This window comes from Homo sapiens, chromosome 2 (assembly GCF_000001405.40).
Source record: "Homo sapiens chromosome 2, GRCh38.p14 Primary Assembly".
Taxonomy (NCBI): domain Eukaryota; kingdom Metazoa; phylum Chordata; class Mammalia; order Primates; family Hominidae; genus Homo; species Homo sapiens.
In genome coordinates this window covers 111,142,270-111,163,488 of record NC_000002.12, presented here as the reverse complement: position 1 = coordinate 111,163,488, position 21,219 = coordinate 111,142,270, and the positions used below count along the sequence as shown (strand labels likewise).

The window sequence follows — 21,219 nt, the reverse complement described above, 5'->3', positions numbered from 1 at the left end:
AACTGTTCAAAAGGAAATCACCAGCTTATCCAATGCTTTCAGGGTCCTCAGGTCTTCCACAGCGCCCACTTTCAGGTTCTAATCCATTTTGTGAGTATGTGCAAGGTATAAATTCACAGTCACCAAAGGCAGCGGCAACACAACACCTCAACCTCGACGCCATGAGCTACAACCTGGTTCACTGTTCAAGTCTGAAATCTGCCCTGGACATTTCTTAATGACTAATCCACACGAGACCGGGCTACATGACTGTCTCTCCACAAACCCCCTTCTCATTGGGTGGGGGATACCTCCAACACACCGTCGCGGGAACCACCTGCCATGCATCAGGCTGAGACAACTGTCCCCTCAGACCCCGAATGGCCCCCACAGACACCAGCCGCAGCTGCAGCTCCACTGTTTACACAAGCTCTGCCGCGCTTGTTTGACAGAATGGGATTGTGATAAGGCCAGGGCATTTCCCCTTTTCCTTCCATAACAAGATTGGAGGAAATCAGCTTTATGTAAGCGATTCCTGTAGAGGCACTCTGTAACCACAGTCTGTGATTTTTATCTGTTTTACACACAAGATTGCTTTGTTTTGATTTAACTTTCAAAATTACTTTGCTGCCTCTGTGTGAGAATAATTTAGGGGAAGGTTAATTTTAGTGTAGACTAATATTAATAGGTTGAAAGAGACTTATTCAAAATAAAACCACAACTTACTAAAATGAAGAAAGTGTACGCTATGATGGGCTAAGTAATCAATCCAGGCAGAGTTGTTTTGTGCCAACCTGGTGTCATTGCCATGCTTGGTGTGGCCAGAAAATGGGGCTGACTGGGTGTCCACAATCATCAGGACACCAATGAGGGGGCTGGGTCAACGTGAAGGACAGACCCCAACTGCTGACACTTGGTAAGTTTCATATTCCAGCACTGGCAGCGTCCAAGGGAAGAAATCTCCTGCCCACTCTTTGAGGACAGCAGGAGGCTGTGACCAAGCTTAAGTAGAAGTCACCTCACAAGAGAATCTTTCCAAGGTTTTTAGAGTTCCACTTTCATCTCAAATGTAAAGGATATGGGGTATTCAAAGACATGTTGGAGAGGGTGGGGAAAATGCAGGAAATTTTGGCAAAAGTTACACCCAATCCCTGACTCATGAGAAGATGCTACAGCATCCCAGTCTGCAAGTGTGCGGGGATGCCTGCCCTCTCAGACGGCGGGCATGACAACATGGCACACGCTTTTAAGCTGACAAGCAATTGCTTTTGGACGACATTCAACAGAGGAAGCCATTACCACGGATTCAAAGAGCCGTGCCAGCCCAGAAAGCATTTGACAGCTGGCACGGCCGGCTGGAGCTGCTGTTGGCTCGAAGTGTATGCCCGTATTGCAAAAGACAGCTGGAGGATGGGCAGCCCCTACCTCTGTAGACTGGCTGCCCTCTAATACCTGCAGCCATAAAAATTACTGTGGCTTATAGTCGGGGCCTGGTGACACTAAACTGGGGCAAGTGGCCAAAAGCTGCAGTGGGGCAAAGACGCAGAACTAGGACTGATGGCTCAACGCTGCTCAAAGCGCCAACAGCTTCAGCCAGCTCCAGTGAAATCTCCCTGCGATCTAGATACTGAGGAACGGCTGCTACAATTCAGCTCCTAAACCAGGGCCTTTGGTTTTGGGGTGGTATAAAGGGTCAGGAGGGAGTCTGAAGCAATTAGAGAAAGCCCCCTAAGATGGAATTTACTGGTGAAAGGTCAAAGTAAGGGCACACCCAGTGGCTTCTGGCCAGGGTAGCACATCCAAGATGGAATTGGAAAGTCAGGACTAAAGATGACAATCCCTGTATTGCAGGGGAGTTGCCAGTTAAAGGCAAGTATGACACTAAGACTGAGCCAGGAGCTGTCATTTGCAGTGTGAGTGGTTCCTCGCATCTAACATGGGCTAAGACAATAAACACACCCATAAGCGGATCATCAGCAGCCATGCCTTGACCGTCTTCCTGAGACCTGCTGTCTGCAGAGCTGGCCTCCCGCCTAGTGTCCAATAAGTCTGCGTCTGCTACAGTGGTTCTTAATCAGGTGGAAGAGGCATCTGTGAATCAAAAGTGCATTTAAGTTCTGCCACTCCCAAACTGGGTAATATAAAAAAGACAGACTGTCTTTCCTGATTACAAGCGTTTTTTAAAAAACTATTAAAATAAATACAATCAGGGAAGATGCTCCACTCCCTCCTGAAACTTCTGGGTATCTTCCTCTTTATGGGCTGAACTGTACACTGTGTCCCCTCAATTCATCTGTTGCAGTCCTAACCCCCCGGACCTCAGGCTGTGACTGTAAGTGGAGACAGGGTCATCAATAAGGTGATTAAGTTAAAATGAGGTCACTGTGGGGTGGGCTCTAATCCACGGTGTTCTGGTAAGAGACAATCAGGACACAGAAACCCACGGAGGGAGACCACGTGAAGACACAGGGGATGACAGCATCTACAGGTCTGGAGGCTAAGTCTGCACCATGATCACAGACTTCCAGCCTCCAGAACTAAGAAAAATAAATTCCTGTTGTGTGAGCCACCCAGTCTCTGGAACTCTGCACAGCAGCCCTAGCTGACTAATACACACTTTCACTGATGCTCTCAGTCTGTCACTCTTTAAGTGAAAACAATCCTTCTTACAGAGTTGGGTAACTCTGTTTTAGTCTAAATTGCAAAAATACTTTAGAAAGGTATAACAACTCATTTGGGTGAAGGAGATTATTTTTAAAGACCAAATTTGCTAGTAAGTTACAACTGAAGTGACCATATACTACAGTTCTCTCCTCTCTCACTTTCTCTACGCAGACACACATACACACAATCACAAGTGCACAAAGAGGAGGGCCCCACCCAGTTGGGTACTGTAATCTCCATAGCCTAAATCAAGAGCTATATGAGGACTGGGTTACCTGGAGGTAACTGCCTTTTGTGGCCATCCCATGTGTCCAGAAGATGACTCCTTCAACATTCACAACCTTGTGTGTCCCTCCAGGAACCAGTTCCTGACAGCCCCTGCCCCTCTCAGGGTAAGGGGCTCCAGTGGCCCTGTTGCTGACCAGCATCAGGTGGGGGGCCTGACTTCAAGGCACGTGTCTGTGTACCCACTAGGTCTGATGGTAATAGCTGTGTCGCCAGCACAAAACAGTAAACAAGATAATAAAGTAAGGACAATACAGAGGCAAATAAAATGAGAGGGAAAAAAACCACTGGCCAGAGAGGAAGTGGGGGAGCCAGGGCAGGAAGGCACCAGGGTGAATCCCCACATCAAGCCCCAAAGGAAGAGGAGAATTTCTTGGAAGGACAAGAGGAGAATGGGCAGTGCAGGTGGAGAGAGAAGCTGGGCAGAGGCAGCAAGGCCAACAGGCAGAAGGGGCCAGCAGTTCAGTAAAGATAATCTCAGTAGTGGATAAGTATTTATCATAAACCAGAAGGAAAGATTATGCCAAGTTGCAGGATTGCTCCCCCACAGACTGTGCCCTCTAAGTGTAAAGGCATAGGATTATGTGTCTACAAGTTCCTCAGCATAGACTTAAGCAGTCTTTCTCTGAAGATATGAACAATGCCCTTTGAGACGGTGTCGAGCATTCAACAGGGAATTCCTAAATAGTTCTTCACATGTCCCCATGACACCAGATGGCACAAGCTCATCTGGGTGGCAACCTGGGAGGAGCTGTACCACAGGAATGCCCTAGCGTGGGGTTCCTGCTGCCTTGCCAGGGGCTGGAGCTGCCACTGCAGCGAGGAACATTAAGTGCAGGGCAGAAGCATCTTCAATTTACACTTGGGACGACCAATTAAGTGTCAGGGAATTTAATGACATTCTAATGCCAAAATAATCACAGAACACCACTCTCTTGCTCAGTCCAGGGAAGCAGATGCTTGGAAAACAATAGAGGCCCTGGCCCCAGGGAACTGGTCAGGTTGAACAGCAGACAACTATAGAATGCAGCTTTGGATTCAGCTTCACTCTCCAACAGTGAGAGGAGTCGAACCTTTGAAAAGCTGCCTAGGGCACTCCAGGCCTTTGGACTTTGTGTGCCCAAGCTTGGGGATGGAAGAATTGCCATGGCCACCACTAAATGAAATAACCTAGCCCATGCTTTTCAGTCCCCACAACAACCCTGAGTGCCAGGGTAGCATTCCCTATGCTGTTTTGCAGCCAGTGACTACAGAGGTCAAGCAAGTGACTCAAAGTGCAGCTGAAGACAGTGGCAGGACAGGATGGGTACTCTTGGCCCACATGAAGATGGAATGCCAGAAGCAGGAAAGAAGTTAAACGAGGGCTTTCAGGCCAGCACCTTCCCTCCTCGCACACCCTGTGCCTGTGCCTGTGCCTCTGCTGGGAAGGGCCCGTTGCTCCTCAGACCTGAAAGGGGCCTTGTTTCAGGCTGAGCTGAGGCCACAGAGGTTCTGGAGTGCGAATTGAGAATCACTAAGTGATTCCTACAATGCAGCTCAGAATACAGCCCACTCATCCATGCTCCAAAGGCAGGGCTGACACCCACTGGGCCCAAGGACTCGGTAAGTACAACACAGACCTAGACATAGCATGGCTCAAAGGGGACTTAAATTAAGAAAGCGCAAATGTGTGTAACACAATTTAAAAAAAAAGGTTGAGATCAGACATGACATCAAGGAGTTATCCTGGGAACCAGGGGTGAGATGTGCTGTAAGAGAGCCACAGTTTAGTTAAGAGTTTCCTGGCAGTCAGAGCAACGAGGGAAAAACGACAATTTCATTGTCATATCAAAGCAAGCTCAATTCCTAATTCTAAGAGGCATTCAAAAACAAGGTATACCTATAGAACTCTGAGATGCAGAGGAATTTAACTTACTCAAAAACTTGTTTCTTACAGAATTTCAACAGTAAATGTATAGGATGTCCTGAAACTTATTTTTTATATATATTTAAGTGTTTATATATATACTATAAATTATTATACATTATATATAATAGGAGGCTGAATTTTGGACTGTGAGACCAGGAAGGACAGAGGGAATCTCTGCTCCAGGCTCAGGCAACTGAGGAAGCAGTCTCTCTGGTTGGTGTCTGATCCCCACAGGCTGCAGAAGAGAGGGCCTGGGATGGACATCCAGGAGCCTGAGAATACCCAGGGGCTGTCACGGCATCTTTAGGGACACTGAGGTGGCAGGGTGGGACATGGAACTAGGAGTCACCCCCCTGATTCTGTTAGAACTACCACTCCACGACTCGTTCATAACCCAGCAGTCTAAACAGCATTTTAACTGGCAACTAAGTGACACAGAAGTCAGAGAGAAAAAGGCCCAGCACACAGTTGAGCATGATGTGGAGCTCTTCAGGAAGATCTGGTCTCTCTCCACTTTCAGACCAACAACCACAGTCAAACGGCAGCTGAGCTGGTATTTCAGCACTGGTTCCATATGCATGCTGTTTTCAGGTGTCAGAGGAGATTGCTACAATACTGCCCAACACCAAATCCACTTTCTATTCATCACCAAGGCAACATGGATATTTGCATAGCTTGTGCCTGCTGCACTTTGATGTCACCACAGCTGGGGAAAGGGCACTAGGAAGTTCCCTCCCAGATGCATGGTACCTTCACCCCAAACCAGGAGAGCACTCTCCCCTAGCGTTGCAAAGCTATGGGTGCTGCAGCTGATCTGCTATGGTGACAATGTGGTCTTCAGAAGTCAGATAAAAACTACATTTGCATAAACCAAACTTTTATCCTATTTTTGACACACTATTTCAAAGAAATTATGATAGTTAAGGCTTATTGTGACACAAATCTCTTCTCCAGTGAATGTCCAGGTGAGGCTGTGCACTGAGGCTCTTCAGGCAGCACAGCACAGCCCTCCACTTGGTAGGTCTCTAGCCTGTCAGACTCCAGACCTGGTGCTGGCTAAACTGGGGAACAACTCCCACCTGCCACTTCTGAAATCGTCACTGTTCTATGGCCAACCACAGAGAAGAGACAGATTGTTCTGACATCTGTGTGAGGCACCAGTAGTTGGAATATTAGATTCAGAGAAGAAACACACTGTTCCAAAATGTTTCAGCCTCAGAAAAAAGCTAAGTGAGACGTAACATAGTTTAACCACAACTAAAACCTCTCCACTTTGTTTCAGGTGGTAGAAGTCTAGTGAAGGATGATATGAGAAGCTTATTATTTTTGAACGTCTGCAGCAGGGCCAAGCCTTAGTTTGTGTGCATCTTCATTTCCTCCTCAAGAGATTTAAAAAAAACCCCAGTTAGACCTCCTGAAGTCCCCTTCCAGGCACCTGCATCTCCTTCCTCATGGTTATGTGTTAATGGCCTTGATCCAGAGCTGCAAGGCAGCCCTGCAGGTGTAGGCACCTGCCAAACAGATGAGCACTCACACGTGGTGCAAACAAGCACAAGTCCTTTAGCCCGATGCCCATCCAGCCATTTAAACACACACCAGTGCCTCAGCCTCATCTCATATTTGCCTACACCCAGACACAGCATGTGCAGTAGGGTCAAACACACAACTTGTTTAAAAAGCAGTTCCAGAGTATTTAAAAGATAGACAGGTGAACAGAGTTCCTGGCATCTCCCTTTCTAAACGCCGAAGACCCATTGAAAAATGTTTCAATTACAGTTCAAAGTGAGAGGAAACAGAATTACGATAACAGATGATAATAAGAATTTTCTAGCTCCATCTCTAAATGTTCTTACTTAATCTCCACTACATGCCTAAGGGATAGACCAGACAATTGGCCTCCTAAAGGTTAAGGGTAGAGTCAGGGCTCTAGGTCTGACCCCAAAGTCCCCACACTTCTCTGTGAGTCGTGTTTTCCTACGAGATCACACTCTGGCTTCAACGAGTAACAGAACGCGCTTGTTTGGAAAACCAGCAATCCATAGTCCACATAATCCCAGCCACATGTTCTCCCAAAAGTCTGAGGGGAAGAACCAAGGAGCTCATCACCTCTGGCCATTGTACTTCTGGGACGGAAACGGGGTAGTCTAAGACAGGAAAGAAAGGCTCCTAAACCCAAACACTGAGCTGCCTCCTCCAGCTTTAAGGAAAACTCTTGCTGAACCTGAATGAAAACCGTGCCACTGATCAATGGCAGGTACCAATTTATCTAAGCTCCTCATGACTGCTTTTGTTATGAAAACTGACATTCTATCAACTCATGTGAGTGAAGTGTGGGGCAACCTATCATTGCATGAGTTAGGTCTAATTTGAATTTAATATCTGATGTGCAGATTTCCACGACTCTTTTCACAGCCAGTAACAGAAAGCAACTTCTTTTACTAAACTCCAACATTCAATTAATGAAGACCTCCAAAGTACGCTGAGAACACACGTTTGGGTTTGTGTTCAGTTTGTGCAATTACCAAGCAGGCTAAACTTTAGTCCTTGCCTTTGTACATTATTCACAGAAGAGTGACTACCATTTATAAAAACAAGAATGAGATAGCACTGGGGATTTCACTTCTCAAGAAGGAGAGCATATAAGTATTTCAAATTCATACAGAGCACAGGAAAATGCTAATGTAATGACACGTTAAATTCTTTCCATCAAAATCAGTCTGCAAGTCACCTTCTCAACTCTACTTTGTCTCATTCAGGGCTAGATTTTGGTCTACATGCACTTCAATCAATTCCTGTCTGCACATGCCCTGGACAGAGTAGGAAGTAGGCAGTGTAAACAAAAGATCACTGTTTCTTGTGATCAAACAATGAAAGGGTTTTTATTCACTGCTGGCCTCATCTGGAGAGCAGCTTCATGTGCTGCTGTCCACTGCAGCCCACCACCAGGACATGCCCAGGTCACAGTTAGCCAAGAGCAGTGTTCCTGCACATGGAGTGACTTGAGCTGGACAACCTGACTGTGAAGAACCTAGAAGCCACAGAAGGTAAACAACTCCAGCTTCAGTATTAGGGGTTATGGAGGGGAAAGAGGGAGGCATGTTGGTTGCAGAATGGGTCCAGTTATTCCAAGAGTAAGCATTTTTACATTCTAAGGGCTTCTGACTGCAGCCCCAGCCCATGGTCAAGACTCCCACCCAAGTAGACACTATCCTTCCAGTACCTCCGGCCCACATCTACAGAGGGTCGCAATCTACACTTGCTGGCACTGCGTCCAGCAGATGAACCGGTACATGCGCTCACACAGTTTGGGTGATGAAAGAAACTGGCAACCGCTACTGAAGAACAGTCTGGCTGTCTTGGGCTGACACACTCACCAGGAAGAGAAGGTGCAGGCTGCAGAAATACAAACACTGCACCACTCAGGTAAAGGCAAGCTGCTCACTTTCTCACAAATTCCAAAATATTTAGTTTCTCAGAGAACTTCTCTTCCCTCCATGCCTACTAACATCCTTACGCTACCTAGCCTTTACCAATAGCCTCCCTACTCGCCACTAAGGAGTCTCACAAGCTTGGAGTCTTTTAAGAGTGCCCTGCACAGCAGACCTGCATAGGAAGAGCTGTGAGGGTCAGTAGCCCTCTGGCCAAAGTTCATTCCGCAACAAATGACTTTTAAGAGCTCCGTGACCTTCACAGCCCCTGGGCTTTGTCCCACAACTGGTTCTCCCTGTGCCTGCACTACTGGTGCCTCCCGCCAAATCATTAAGAATCTGAGCATCAAAATAAATATTGACAGTAACGCATTGCAGCCCATTGAATAAAACAGGAATCTATGAATCCAAGTTGTTATACTAAATAACTATATAAGAGAGAAAGGAAAGCTCTTTGTCCTTTATAATCTCTGTCCTATTACAAATGGAAAAGTACTAACTTCACAGTGGAAGACTGTGGAAGATCTTTGATCCAAGATCCACCTTGGATCAAAGTGAACCTCATCAGTAACAGGACAAATGGACATCATGTGCTTCCTGCTGTGCCACACTGACACATCACCTCTGGAGTGCTCCCATCAGAAATGCAAAACCTGAGTCTCATCATGCAGAAATATCAGATAAATCAAACTCAGGGAGTCTGCAAATTACAACTGCCCTGATCCTTCAAAAATGTCACTGTCATAAAAGACAAAGACAGAGGAACGGTTCCAAATTAACGGAACCAGAGGTAAAACACGTGAATTCAATGCATTATCCTACATTGGCTCTTAGGCCAGAAAATACATTTTTTCTTTTTTTTTTTTTTTTCTGAGAAGGGCATTGTTGGGACAAGTGGTAAAATCTGAATAAGGTCCATAGATCAGATAATAGTTTTGTAACACTATTTGTGAATTTTGATAATTACACTGTGGTTACATAAGGGATTACTCCTATTTTTGGGAAATATACACTGAAGTATTTTTAGTGTAGGAAAAGCAGTATCATGTCTGTAGTTTTTTCTGAAATAAATTGTACATGTGTGCAAAGAGGGAAAACATGAAAACAAGTGGGGCAGATATAAAAGGGTGGTTCTTTGTGTCATTCTTGCAACATTTTTGTAAGTCTGAAATTATTTCCAAATGAAGTTACCAAAATCCACTGGAGTAGTAAAACTCCGACTGAATAGAGGGGCCAGGCCGTTCAGCCCGGCAGGTTCACCTGGGAATGACACTGCATCGGGAGAGAAGAGGGGACATGCACTGGGACTTTGCGCTCACCTGTGCCTCTCTCACCTCCTCCTTCAAGGATTCAGCCTCCACAGCTCCGTCTCAAACGCTTCCCCACTGCCCTTAAGTGGACTGAATACATGACAACTACACGACAACTTCCTCTATTTCTCTAACTGGAAAAACGGGAAAATATCCTGTCAGGCTTTGCAAGGCTCGTGGCAATAAAAGACTAACACTTTAGACAAGGCATTGTAATAGCATTAAGCAAATAAAGACACTCAACATTTAAAAGGTTAATATCCATCCTAAAGCAGCACAGTGAGATACACTCGCTTGCCAAGAGAGGATAATTCCCTTGTGAAGACAGCAGGTAATTTGAATTCATTATTTCCCAAAACGGCCTCCCATTACCTTCCCAGATTTCTGCCCCCAATATTTAACAATGGACCATTAAGTGTGATTCCAGACAATGGACTGTTTTTAATCTAACAAGTATCAAGACGGGTGTCTGTGGCTTTGAAGATCACGGTGTCACTATCCACAGCATCATCCAGTGTTTTGAACTATTTTTTTTTTTAGATGGAGTTTCGCTCTTGTGGAGGCTAGAGTGCAATGGTGCAATCTCAGTTCACTGCAACCTGCGCCTTCCAGGTTCAAGCAATTCTCCTGCCTCAGCCTCCCGAGTAGCTGGGATTACAGGCACCCACCACCACACCCAGCTAATTTTTTGTACTTTTAGTAGAGACGGGGCTTCACCATCTTAGCCAGGCTGGTCTTAAACTCGTGACCTCTGGTGATCCACCCGCCTCAGCCTCCCAAAGTGCTGGGATTACAGGTGTGAGCCACCGTACCCAGCCTTGTGTTTTGCGCTATTTATAAAATCTGAATATATTTACCTTTGTTTTAGAAAAATTGGGTTATAACCTAGAATCTATCCCTACTCCTTCCCCCTAATATCCCAGCCTACTAACAAAGCTAAAGTCCTTTAATGATTTGTGACTGTATTTTTGCACTGAATTATTTTTAAGATATGCAAAAGATGCACAATGACAAAACCTTGTAAATACTGCAATCAGACAAATTTAATTTACCAAAAGCATGGGAACAATAGGTTGCATCTTATTGGAAACACAGACATGACCATCTTAAACATACGCTTAAACATTAAACTGTGAAATGACATTGGGAGAAGAGGAGGGGAGGCAGGCTATGAACCTGTTAGGTGCTGCTATCACATCCTCAACAGAGAGGCAAGGTAACAAAGACAACCCAGCAGCCTAGGTTTCATCTGCATATGACTCAAACTATTCCCCACCTTGACAGCCTTCACAAGAGGATGGCCGGGGACTGGGATGCACTCCAGTCCCCATGCCAGCCTTAGCCTATGTCTTGTCACTGACCACTCATGGCAGCCATGGAGGTGCATCCACCAGGTCCATCTGGGCAGGCCCACAGGAAAGCCTTGTGGAGTCATGCATTCATATTGCATGCTTTAAAGAGAAACTTGTATAATATCCTTTAACACAACCAGCTCTGCGGTCAAAATCTCTAACAGAATCCTTGAGAATGTGCAAGCTTATCTCAGTACCCAGAGCTCTTGGCAGCAGGGAGACACTGTGGGCACCAGGCAAGGCCTACTGCCACCTCTTTCTCTCAGGCAGCCCCATCTAAGGCAGATCTTGCCCCGAGGGTGTCTACAAAGCCCCTTCCAGACGGGAAGGAGACAGGCCCAGGGGATGGTCAGTTCATTGCCTAGGTTCAGAGATGTCTCCATACCCATCAGAAATGATCTGTCCTGTTGGATTCTGGACACAATACCAGAATCGGGACTTGAGTGTATTCACCTACCCTCTTAAAGGGACTCATGTCCTCCCCACTTTGATCCTGAATACACTGTGGTCCCACTTCTCACCAGTTCTTCCTAGTCAATAGAGACAGCCACTTCCAGTCACACACAGGAACACCAAAATCCCTTTAGGTAAACCAAGGCAGAGGAACTGGAGGGAATGGTTACTTCAGTGACAAGTTATAAAACCAACCAAAGTTCCAAAAAAATTACCATTTCAGATCTAGGCTGGAATGTTCTGTGAACTGGTTTATGTCAGGTGGAGGATGCCAGGAGTTTTGCCAGCTTAAGACAGTATTTTAAGAAATTCTTAAGTCCATCAATGTCACACTTCCCATTTTACAACAGAATCATTACTACAGCACTCTCCTCAAACACCCCCACAGAAAGGTAGGAAGATCCGATGTGTGTTTTCTTGACTCTTACAGAAATTCCATACTGAAGAACTGATAGTGTCCTTTGTAATGGGAAAATGTCTATTTGTCTAAAAGAAGCCTAAAACACATTGTATAAAGGCAGAAAAATAATAATCAAAGGTAAAATCCATTTACTTAGCAACAATTAACCAAGCATGACCTCCCCTAGAAAACAGATTAAAAAAAAACTTTTAAGAGGTACTTATATAAAACAACAACGTTCAGAAAAAAAAGAGCTAAAAGAGAAGGGGTAAGAATAAATGATATTAACAACTATAACATTTTCCACAAAATAAGAATTAGTGTCTTCCTTTTGGATAAATCAACTGAATTAATACCTTTATATGAGGTGTTTAAAACTCTGTGAACAAGTAAATACACTATATCACACATTTGCTAGTGTACCCTTTAGCGGAAGCAGTCACAGGTGTTCCCAATGGTACTAACTCCTGGAGTCAAAGTCTACACATTTAAAAATGTCTCCCATGCGGCCAGGCGCAGAGGCTCACACCTGTAATCCCAGCACTTTGGGAGGCCGAGGCAGGCAGATCACAGAGTCAGGAAATCGAGATCATCCTGGACAATATGGTGAAACCCCATCTCAACTAAAAATACAAAACTAGCTGGGTGTGGTTGCAGGCGCCTGTAATCCCAGCTACTCAAGAGGCTGAGGCAGGAGAATCACTTGAACCTGGGAGGCGGAGGTTGCAGTGAGCTGGGATTGCGCCACTGCACTTCAGCCTGGTGACAGAGCAAGACTCCGTCTCAAAAACAAACACACACACAAACAAACAAACAAACAAACAAAAGTGTCCCATGTGAAAAAGGTGTCCAAATGGTCACCTACATTGCCCCCAGGTAAAACAAACAAAAAACACCGCTTCTACTAACTACAGAAGATGACATAGGCTAAAATTTTTAAAAAATCAAGAACATAGCTCAAAATAAGTGGCAATTATCTATAATATAAAGTTTTTACAGCCCAAATTACAGGCTATTGATTAGCGGCCTCCTAATACATTTCAACAATTAAATGTCCAAAGACAGCAATGGGCTCTGCAAGGGCAATGGCTCCCTGCTTCCTCGGGCCACCCTGCAAATTGCAGGAGAGTCTTTTACATGAGTGCTGGCATCGCTCCCATGCGCTAAGTGACAAAAGATGTTGTTTAAAAATTACCTTTAACTTTGACCTAAAATGCACAAGGGGAGTACAGAAACACACTACATGGATTGAAACCTATGTTAATAGTATTTCTAGACTATCTCAAAGTCTATAAATAATCCCTTTTTTAGCATTGTTTTAAAGTCTGTGCTCATAAAATTCCTTTGCTGCCTCCTACTGTATTATTTTATTTAAGTGCCATTACTTAGTCATAAAACAAATGAAAAATGGGAAAGGAGAAACAATGAAAGGTCACAACTAGGCAACAGTAATCATTTCCAGAATTAGCATGTAGTTACAAGAAGTCACTGTCTTTTTAAAAAAATATAGTGTGGAAGGGGAGGGTGTGAGCAGAAAAGCGGGTAAAGAAAACATCATTACCCTCCTTGCATAGTAAGCGTTAAACTCGTCTCCAATACGCCGCAACTCTTGGGCGATCCATATCTCTGGGCGCATATCTGCAGGTTCAGCCTGCCTCATGGAAGCTGCATCAGAACAAAACAAAACAAAAATCACATTGTGGTCCACAGATCACTGGGAAAGTTCCAAAGATAAGTCTCTAGAGGCAAGCCCATCTCACACACTCTTTCACATTTCTGGGAGCTCCCTGACTTCAACAACTACAGCCATGTACTAAAGATTAGAGTGGCAGAGTCTTCTACATAACTCTGGTTAAAGAATAAGAGATATAGAATAAAATTTCCTTTTTTAAAACTGGAGATTCAGAATTGCAAGAACTGAAAACATTCCAACCCATTCATACACACTTCCATTTCCAGAAGTTACTCACAAGAAAATGGAAAATACTGCCAAAGAAATATGCTTGAAACATAATTATAACATAACAATTTAGTTTTTCAGTAAAATAATCATTCTGATCTTATTACAAGGCAAATATTCCTATATAACTTTCAAACATCATCCAAAAATATGAGGTGAAATGGCTGTCCCATTCAAAGCAAAATAAGCGAAACCCTGAGAAACCTGAATAAGTTGGTTTCTATGAAAGCAGGTACAATGATACAGACAGCTGTCTTCAGAATGGCTACCCCAGGGCCAAATGAAAGCATAATTGCATGTTTTGTCTCAATATTAATGCAGCCAATCAAGATGAGCTCAAGTCTGCAAACACCACATGGAGAGAAAACATGTTTTTGGGTCTAAGAGCAAAGGCATTTTTGAAAGGAGAAGAAAGAGGGAGGACTGCCCTTTCATTAAGCTGTCACTAACATTCACACCCAGTACATTCATCTGTTTACTAATGAAACCATTAAAAGCCATGTGACAGCCAAAAATGAAGGAGAACAAAAATGTGAGTTGTCAAAAGATCCCATTATGCATTAGGAAGATTATATTCTCCATGTGCCACCAGGAAAGCATTACACTCAGAGGTGAACAGTTCAGTAACGTGTACAGGAAATGAGATAAAATTCTTGGATTTCCACCGCTATTCACGTGTGACTTACGTTAACTTACTGTAAAAATGGGCACACCGTACTCACAATTAAACACACATATTACGTTTTCACCAGAACAAAATAGGTAAAAACCTACGATAATAGGATTTTGCCATACGAAGGAACATAACTTCCTGTCTTTATTTTTGTAAAAGGCCAGTAAAACTGATACTGATTCAGAGCTCTATAAAAACACTTAAAAGTGAACACTTTGAAGAGTTTTTGCCAATTCCTCTACAATCTCTTGCCTCATCTTATACCCAAGTGAATTTAACAATAATCCCACAAAGACTGAGGGCCTAGGAGAGGCAGAATATCACACCACCCCTGTGGGGGTGGCAGTGGGGTAAGAGGGACACACACCGATCCCCTCCAGAGTTATCTGCAGTCTGTGAATAAACCAGAGGGAGGAACTGCTGTAGGAAGCCCTGGTGGAGAAGCACAAAGGCTGATGAAGGGGAAACTTTCAGGATGTCAGGCATGGCCTCTGAATACATCCAATCATACAAAATTTACTTTGATTGTACCTGTGTCACACAAATATTTCTAACAAATCTGTAAAAAGTCTTAAAATTAATTTTTGAACTAAACTGGGAGAAAACAAAATTTCTGGGTAGATGTGATATGAGGTGATGCTGATGTCATAGTTCCTTTTCCTGGGCTTACTGCCCCTTAAAGAGCTACTCTTTTTAAGTGTTCTTTCCCTGATTTAGAAGCTTTTAACAAGTTAGTTCGCCCTTAGGGGAAGAAGAAAAGTGTGTTTTGTTTGGGCACCCACTGCACAAGGGTCTCATGCAGTCCTCCTAAAGGAGGTGTGCCTACCCATATGCACAAGTGAACGTCCAGCCAGCAAGACACCATCACCCACCTCTCCTGAGCTTCAAGCTCCACCTGTTTCTCACTACACATGACTGAGAGAGAAAACTGCCTTCAGCCCCGGAGTCAGAAGTGAAGAAAACACCAATTATCAAAAGGACATCTGTGAACTACAGATTGATGTTTTATAAAGTTGGCAGACTGGTAAAAATTGCAGGCCAAGTTACCCAATACTTAATACATCAATGATATTCACAAATCCACTCAACAAACACAAACACTCACATGCCTGACATTGTTCTAGGAGGTGCTCTGGGTATAGCAACAAAGGAGGCCATGCCCTGCTCCCACGGGGCTTACCTTCTTGTAGATTAACCACTTGATTTCAACTAACTGCTAAATTTCTTTGGGACAAGGAGACATATTTTATACTTTTTATAAGACAAAACAAAAATAATTCCCCCTGTCAATTTCCCCTAACTCGTAAATTAAGTCCACTGGATTCTCTTTAACACTTTGACTTGTGTCTGTGGTTTAGAAGCTTCCACATGGCTCGTGCTTGGGCTGGCAATTGCAAATACCACCAAATACTATCAAGGGGCAGTCTCTGTCAGAAGCCAACCTATCAAAACTAGCACTTAGTGAATGCATTCAACCTAGCCAGCAGGTAGGAGCTTTTAACAAATTAGCCAATTTCAACTTACTCATCTTAAGAGATAAATGCCCTGCTGGCTTTGGCAGAAGCAAATAAACGAATGGCCTGTTTCTTGTACAAAAAGAAAAGTTCAGTAGTTAACATTAATTAGCCTAAATAAATTCATGGATATAAACACATCCCTAAGCTCTGGCAGGGAGAAATGGCGGGTGTGTGTGTGTGTGTGTGTGTGTGTGTGTGTGTGTGTGTGTGTGAGAGAGAGAGAGAGAGAGATACAGGAGGCTGTACTCTTTCAAGTCCCTAAGCAACTCTGGTGCAGACGGTTTCCCAACCAGACCCTGGTGGGCAAAAGGCAAGAAACCATGGCAATGCTCTGGAGCCCTGAGATGTGTCTTTAGCATTTCAGAGTTAGGAGAGTTGTATTAAGCAAAGATAATGGTTTAGAGACTAGGCTTATACTGGAATTGGCAATAACTACATTAGTAAGAGCTATCAACTGTACTTAGGTGTAGTTTTAAAAAGTTATTATGGAAATAGATACTATAAATTACATTTTGCAAAAAAGACTGATCTGTAAGGGCTACTCTAACTAGCACCTATCACTATTTTTTTAAAAACCAGTTTGTTTTTTTGAGATGCAAATACAGTTATTTCCTGAATTTATAAACCTAAAAGTAATGGCAAACACTCATCCTGCAATAAGACCTAGCTAGTATGCACACAGTAGTACATGGCTATAAAGACTATATGATAAAAACTCTTATTTTAACTCTTATTTATTCCTGTATTTTAAAAGGGTAGTTTTAATCTGTTAGTACAGTGCAACATAAAGTTCAATTATTTCTTAAGTGACAAAATATCTTCTATGGGGATAGAGAAAGCCTCTCTTTAACTTCATCACTAATTCAATGTTAGTGAGTCTCACACCACATGAAATCAACCAGAACAAATGAATGGGGTCTGTAAGCCCCACAGTGGCACCGATCAGCACGAGAATTAAGTTTTGTTATTTCCTTTAGCATCAGTTTGCTTTGCCACCACGATGACAAAGGGATCCACCGGTATGGTCTTCCAAAAGCGTGCCTGGAGCCCGTGGGGTTTGGCATACAGAAATCTCCAAACACACGCTGCTCCACCCTCACTCCTGTAATCTTACCTGGATACTCAACCCAATTCCTCCTATCCTAACATACTCGAGCTATCAAAAAGATAACTTAGGTTGACATTTCTAGTTTATAAGAAAAGTAAGAACCAAGCATAAATATTTTATTTTGCTATCTGCAATGTGTCTGACCGCCGTAAATGTTGATACCTGGTCTATAAAATGGTTTTATTTGAAATGAAAGCTCTTACTCTGTAGGGAGATCAAATTTTTAACTTGGCAATTTTATGTGAACATAAAAAATTCTTCAAAGGGGAAATTCTGATGAGCTGCATTTTTACCCACAGAAAATGTAGTTTCAGCATTTATGAAAGCACTTCACTCCATAAACCTGGCACTAAATTTTTTTTTTAAAGCACAATAAAATATAAACTGCTCTTGAGGTAAAGTGACTTCAAAGCTGTAATCTGCAGCAAAAGCTCCAATCCTGCAAGTAGCAGACTCAGGCAGAGGTGACTTCCTAGGCAGATCCATGTTTTCTTTCTCTTTACTTGTTACAAAAAAAAAAAAAAAAAAAAGAAAGCCACTAATCAAAACTTTTATAATGCAATATGTCAGATATAAGCAATTTTTGCCAAAAGTGTGTCCACTGAATCTTCAAACTTCTTAGAAATCATTTTTTGAAGCCCGGAACTTACTGGTAACATTACTACCTATGGGAAAATACCATGAAGTATTCTTAATCCATTTTTGGAGGAGTGTGGAGGGCATTTTCCAACACCAAGGGACTTTAGTTCTACTCAAAGATGCATGTTTCTTAACAAACTATTCTGGCTCAGCAACAGACTATTTTTAAAGTCTTAAGTAATTTAAAATCTTAAAAGTTCAACAACTGAAAAATTAATACCGTGGTTAAGTGGTTGATAGTGAAATCAGGCTGGGGCTTTCACAAAGGACTTTCTGTAGCAGCAGCCACGGCAGGAAACTTTTTTTTTTAAAAAAAGAGAGATTGTCAATCTATAATGAGCTCAGTATCAGTCAGGCTAAACCTTCTGATTTCTCTTTAATGTCCAAGAGCTTCTAACCCAAGAGCCTCTATCCCAGTGCTCCAAGGAAATGAAGTCACATCATGACATTCTCTCTCCAAAACCCAGTTGTTCTCTGTGACGATGCCATAAAGTGACATCTAATGACTCAGGTGTGTGTACTGGGTGGCAGGGGCATGTCACACACAAGCATTCTCAACTGCAGCCTCAGTCTGGGAACGAGGTGGTGCGACCCTCATTTCCGAGGGGCAGCTGCTGTTTTAGTTCCCATCTTATCATTACTGGAATTTCAAGTGTAGTACCAGAAACCAAATTAAAATTCACAGGAACGCTGCACTCTGTACTGTTTTCAGATGTTCAGATATCTACAAACACTCGAGTAGAATCAAGATTAGATTTTCAAGTCATCAGCGTGAATTAAGCTTTGAATCGATATTCAACTCAGAACTGAGAGAGGATTTTACACACATAATAGAACATACTTAGCCAAAAAGTGCACATTCTGTCTGGCACTTGCGGGAAACAGCCAGGCACAGCCAGGGACTGCAGGGGTGTGAGGAGAAAGAAGGCCTGTCCTTCAGACATTGCAGGGCTGTCTACCTTTACTCTCCAGAGAGATTCTGCTTTAACCACCAAAAGCAATAAAGGATCCTGTAAAGGGCCATTTCTTTGTGGACTCTGAAACCAGCTTTAAACCAATTCCAAGAGATACTCCGAAAATGTTTAGGGGAGTCACTGCCTCTGTCTGCAGGTGGGCTCTCTGAAGCTGACATTCATTTAGAGAAAGAAAAATTCCAGGATGTTTATTCAACTCTGTAAGTCTCCTTCTTTAAATATCTTCAGAAATATCTTTCTAAATTCAGAGTTATCCAAAGCTTACAAGAGGAGGGAAGCAACAGACCAGCCCCCTTATGTTTCCTTATAAAACTCACCTGGGTGATGGAGCTGTTTCTAGTCCCAGTTAGCTATAAGGCAAAGGAGAGCAACTGCCATCAGCGTTTGCGGTAAATGCTATCAGAATCATGTTTGAAATCCTCAACTCTGACGGTTCTCAGAAATAAAATAAGCAAGTAACCAACAACACACACACACACCTCCCTCCAGGTCTATTTCTCACTTGTATCATTTTATTTTTTGGCAATCCCAATCAATTCCGCTGAGCCACTGGATGAAAACAAAAGCTATGAGAAATACGATGACAGCATTAGTACTCAAAGATTCCTCAATCTGTCTCCCTGGAACACATTTGTGTCAAAAGCCTGGGCAGTCACATGAATTCAAGACAGTGCTTCAAAAACAGCTGCTAGGATAAAATACTATCAATAATAAAGTTTATGAGATGAGGCCAGTGTTTTCATACTTACTCTTTCAACGTGCACTGCCCATTGCCTTTATGGAGCCATGGTCAAAAGAAACAGCTTTCATCAATTTCCAGCCTGACCATTTGGAAACTGCCAGTAAACCAAGGCTGTGAAGTTGGACAGAAGTCTGGAAACTAGTGTTCATGAGATTTTTTCCCTCATTCACTATTATCTGTCCCTTATAATAAAAATACAAGTCTAAAGACATTAAGATTAATGTGTTATGCCTTTTTACTCATTTCTCATTCAACATCAGAAAAACTAATTATCCATGTCACCAGAGCTGTCCCCGACACACATATTAACATATTTACTAGCAGCTGGGGACAAGCCAGGAGCAAACCCAGACTGAGCTGTGATCCCTATACTCAAGGACATCCCCAGCTGAGTCACGACAGAAGCCCAGCATCTTGCACCATGTGGGAGACCTGAGCAGGAGCCCTCTAAGACTCCCAGCCTGTGTGCCCGCTTCCTGGGACAGATGCACATTTCCTAAGGCACTGCTGTCCTCGCTGAAGAACACTGAGTGCTACGATGCTATTCCTCGTAGGGAATTGAAATGTTCCCTTCTAAGCCCCACTTCAATCTTGATTCTGCCCCTGGGACTATAAAGGAAATCTATGATCCCTCTCAATCATCACCCCACTTTTTGTCAGTGAACCTGTGCCAAACCTGGTCCTAAACCAGTTCTTTCCATGTGCCTTGTATGACATCCCCTGGGAAGCCCCTTGACCACCTGGCCCGCCTTGGTGTGCTCCTGAAATCGCTGCTCTGAATAGTGTGTGACAGTGTTCTGCCCCTGGTGTTCTGCCAGTGTTCTTCTGGGGAAAGACACGGGACACTGAATACTGCTACTACTCCTTAGTTTTTCTACACCAACCTTCATCCTAGTAAGTCTCTGCGACAGCCACAGCTCCATTTCTATAGCTTTAGATTACTTTCAGGGGATTAAAAGTATCTGACCTGTGCCATTTTATTCTGAAAAACAAAAATAATCCCAAAACTAAGGACAGCTAAAAGAAGACCAACCCTGAAATTACTTTAGTGCAAAGACACAAATCCCTATATTTTTTCTACTGACGAGGTAAACTACCCAATTTATTTCCCCATAAGAAGAAAAATGCTTTAGAGACCTTTTAAAAGTAAAGATAAAACTCTATATACATTGGTTCACTTAAGACCATTCCTTAGAATTAAAATGCTTAATTTGAAGTTACTGTAAGTTGTTTCTAGCCAAAAAACCAGATCTGGGCAAGAGGGGAGGGAGATGAGAATTTAAACAAAAAATATAAGAATTTCTGATGACAAAATAAGTGTGGCTTCCTCTATGAAATTTAAAACCAGTAGCAGGAAACTGGTGATTAACATCTTTTCTCCTAAACTCACATTAAGGTCTTCAGTATTACTGTTTTCACCTCCATGATAAGAAAGACCAAGACACAGGTAAAAAATAAGAGCAAAAACAGAATCCTTAAAAAGCTACACCTTAAACAGTTTTTAAAATAAAAATGGAAAAAGCCTATAATGTATACGGTTAAAACTTACAATGGTGATATACAAAGTGAAGTACAATTTAACACAGATATGATTATTGATAACACACTGTAGGGCTAAGACATAATGAAAGCTTCTCACTTAAAAGTCACAAAAGGCAGCTGCTTCTTTTTATCCCATTTTGAATAAAAAGAAAAACTTTTCACCTTGATTTTGCTAACCACTTGAGTGGCCACTGAACTTCCCTATGAAGGGCAATTCTGAGGGAGGATCCAGCGGAGTCATCTGCAAGCCATAAAAATGTTGTATAAATAAATTGTGCCATGTC

General features: G+C 43.0%; 1 protein-coding gene across 30 annotated transcripts in view; it reads right to left on the bottom strand.

The window, feature by feature from the left end:
• The window catches only part of BCL2L11 (BCL2 like 11), a 47,532-nt gene that overhangs the window by 4,957 nt on the left and 21,356 nt on the right, over positions 1–21,219 (bottom strand). For 6 of the 30 annotated variants that reach the window (NM_138621.5, NM_006538.5, NM_138625.4 and 3 more), the window contains one exon: positions 13,342–13,445. The exons of 4 other annotated variants lie outside the window; for them this stretch is intronic. In NM_138621.5, the coding sequence (NP_619527.1) occupies positions 13,342–13,445 (104 nt within the window). Of the gene's footprint in view, positions 1–1,938; positions 2,071–9,584; positions 9,710–10,593; positions 13,446–17,204; positions 17,541–18,968; positions 19,002–21,097; positions 21,177–21,219 lie in introns of those variants that run through there. 20 more of the 30 variants (XM_047442102.1, XM_005263556.4, XM_005263552.5 and 17 more) reach the window with 11 other exon arrangements.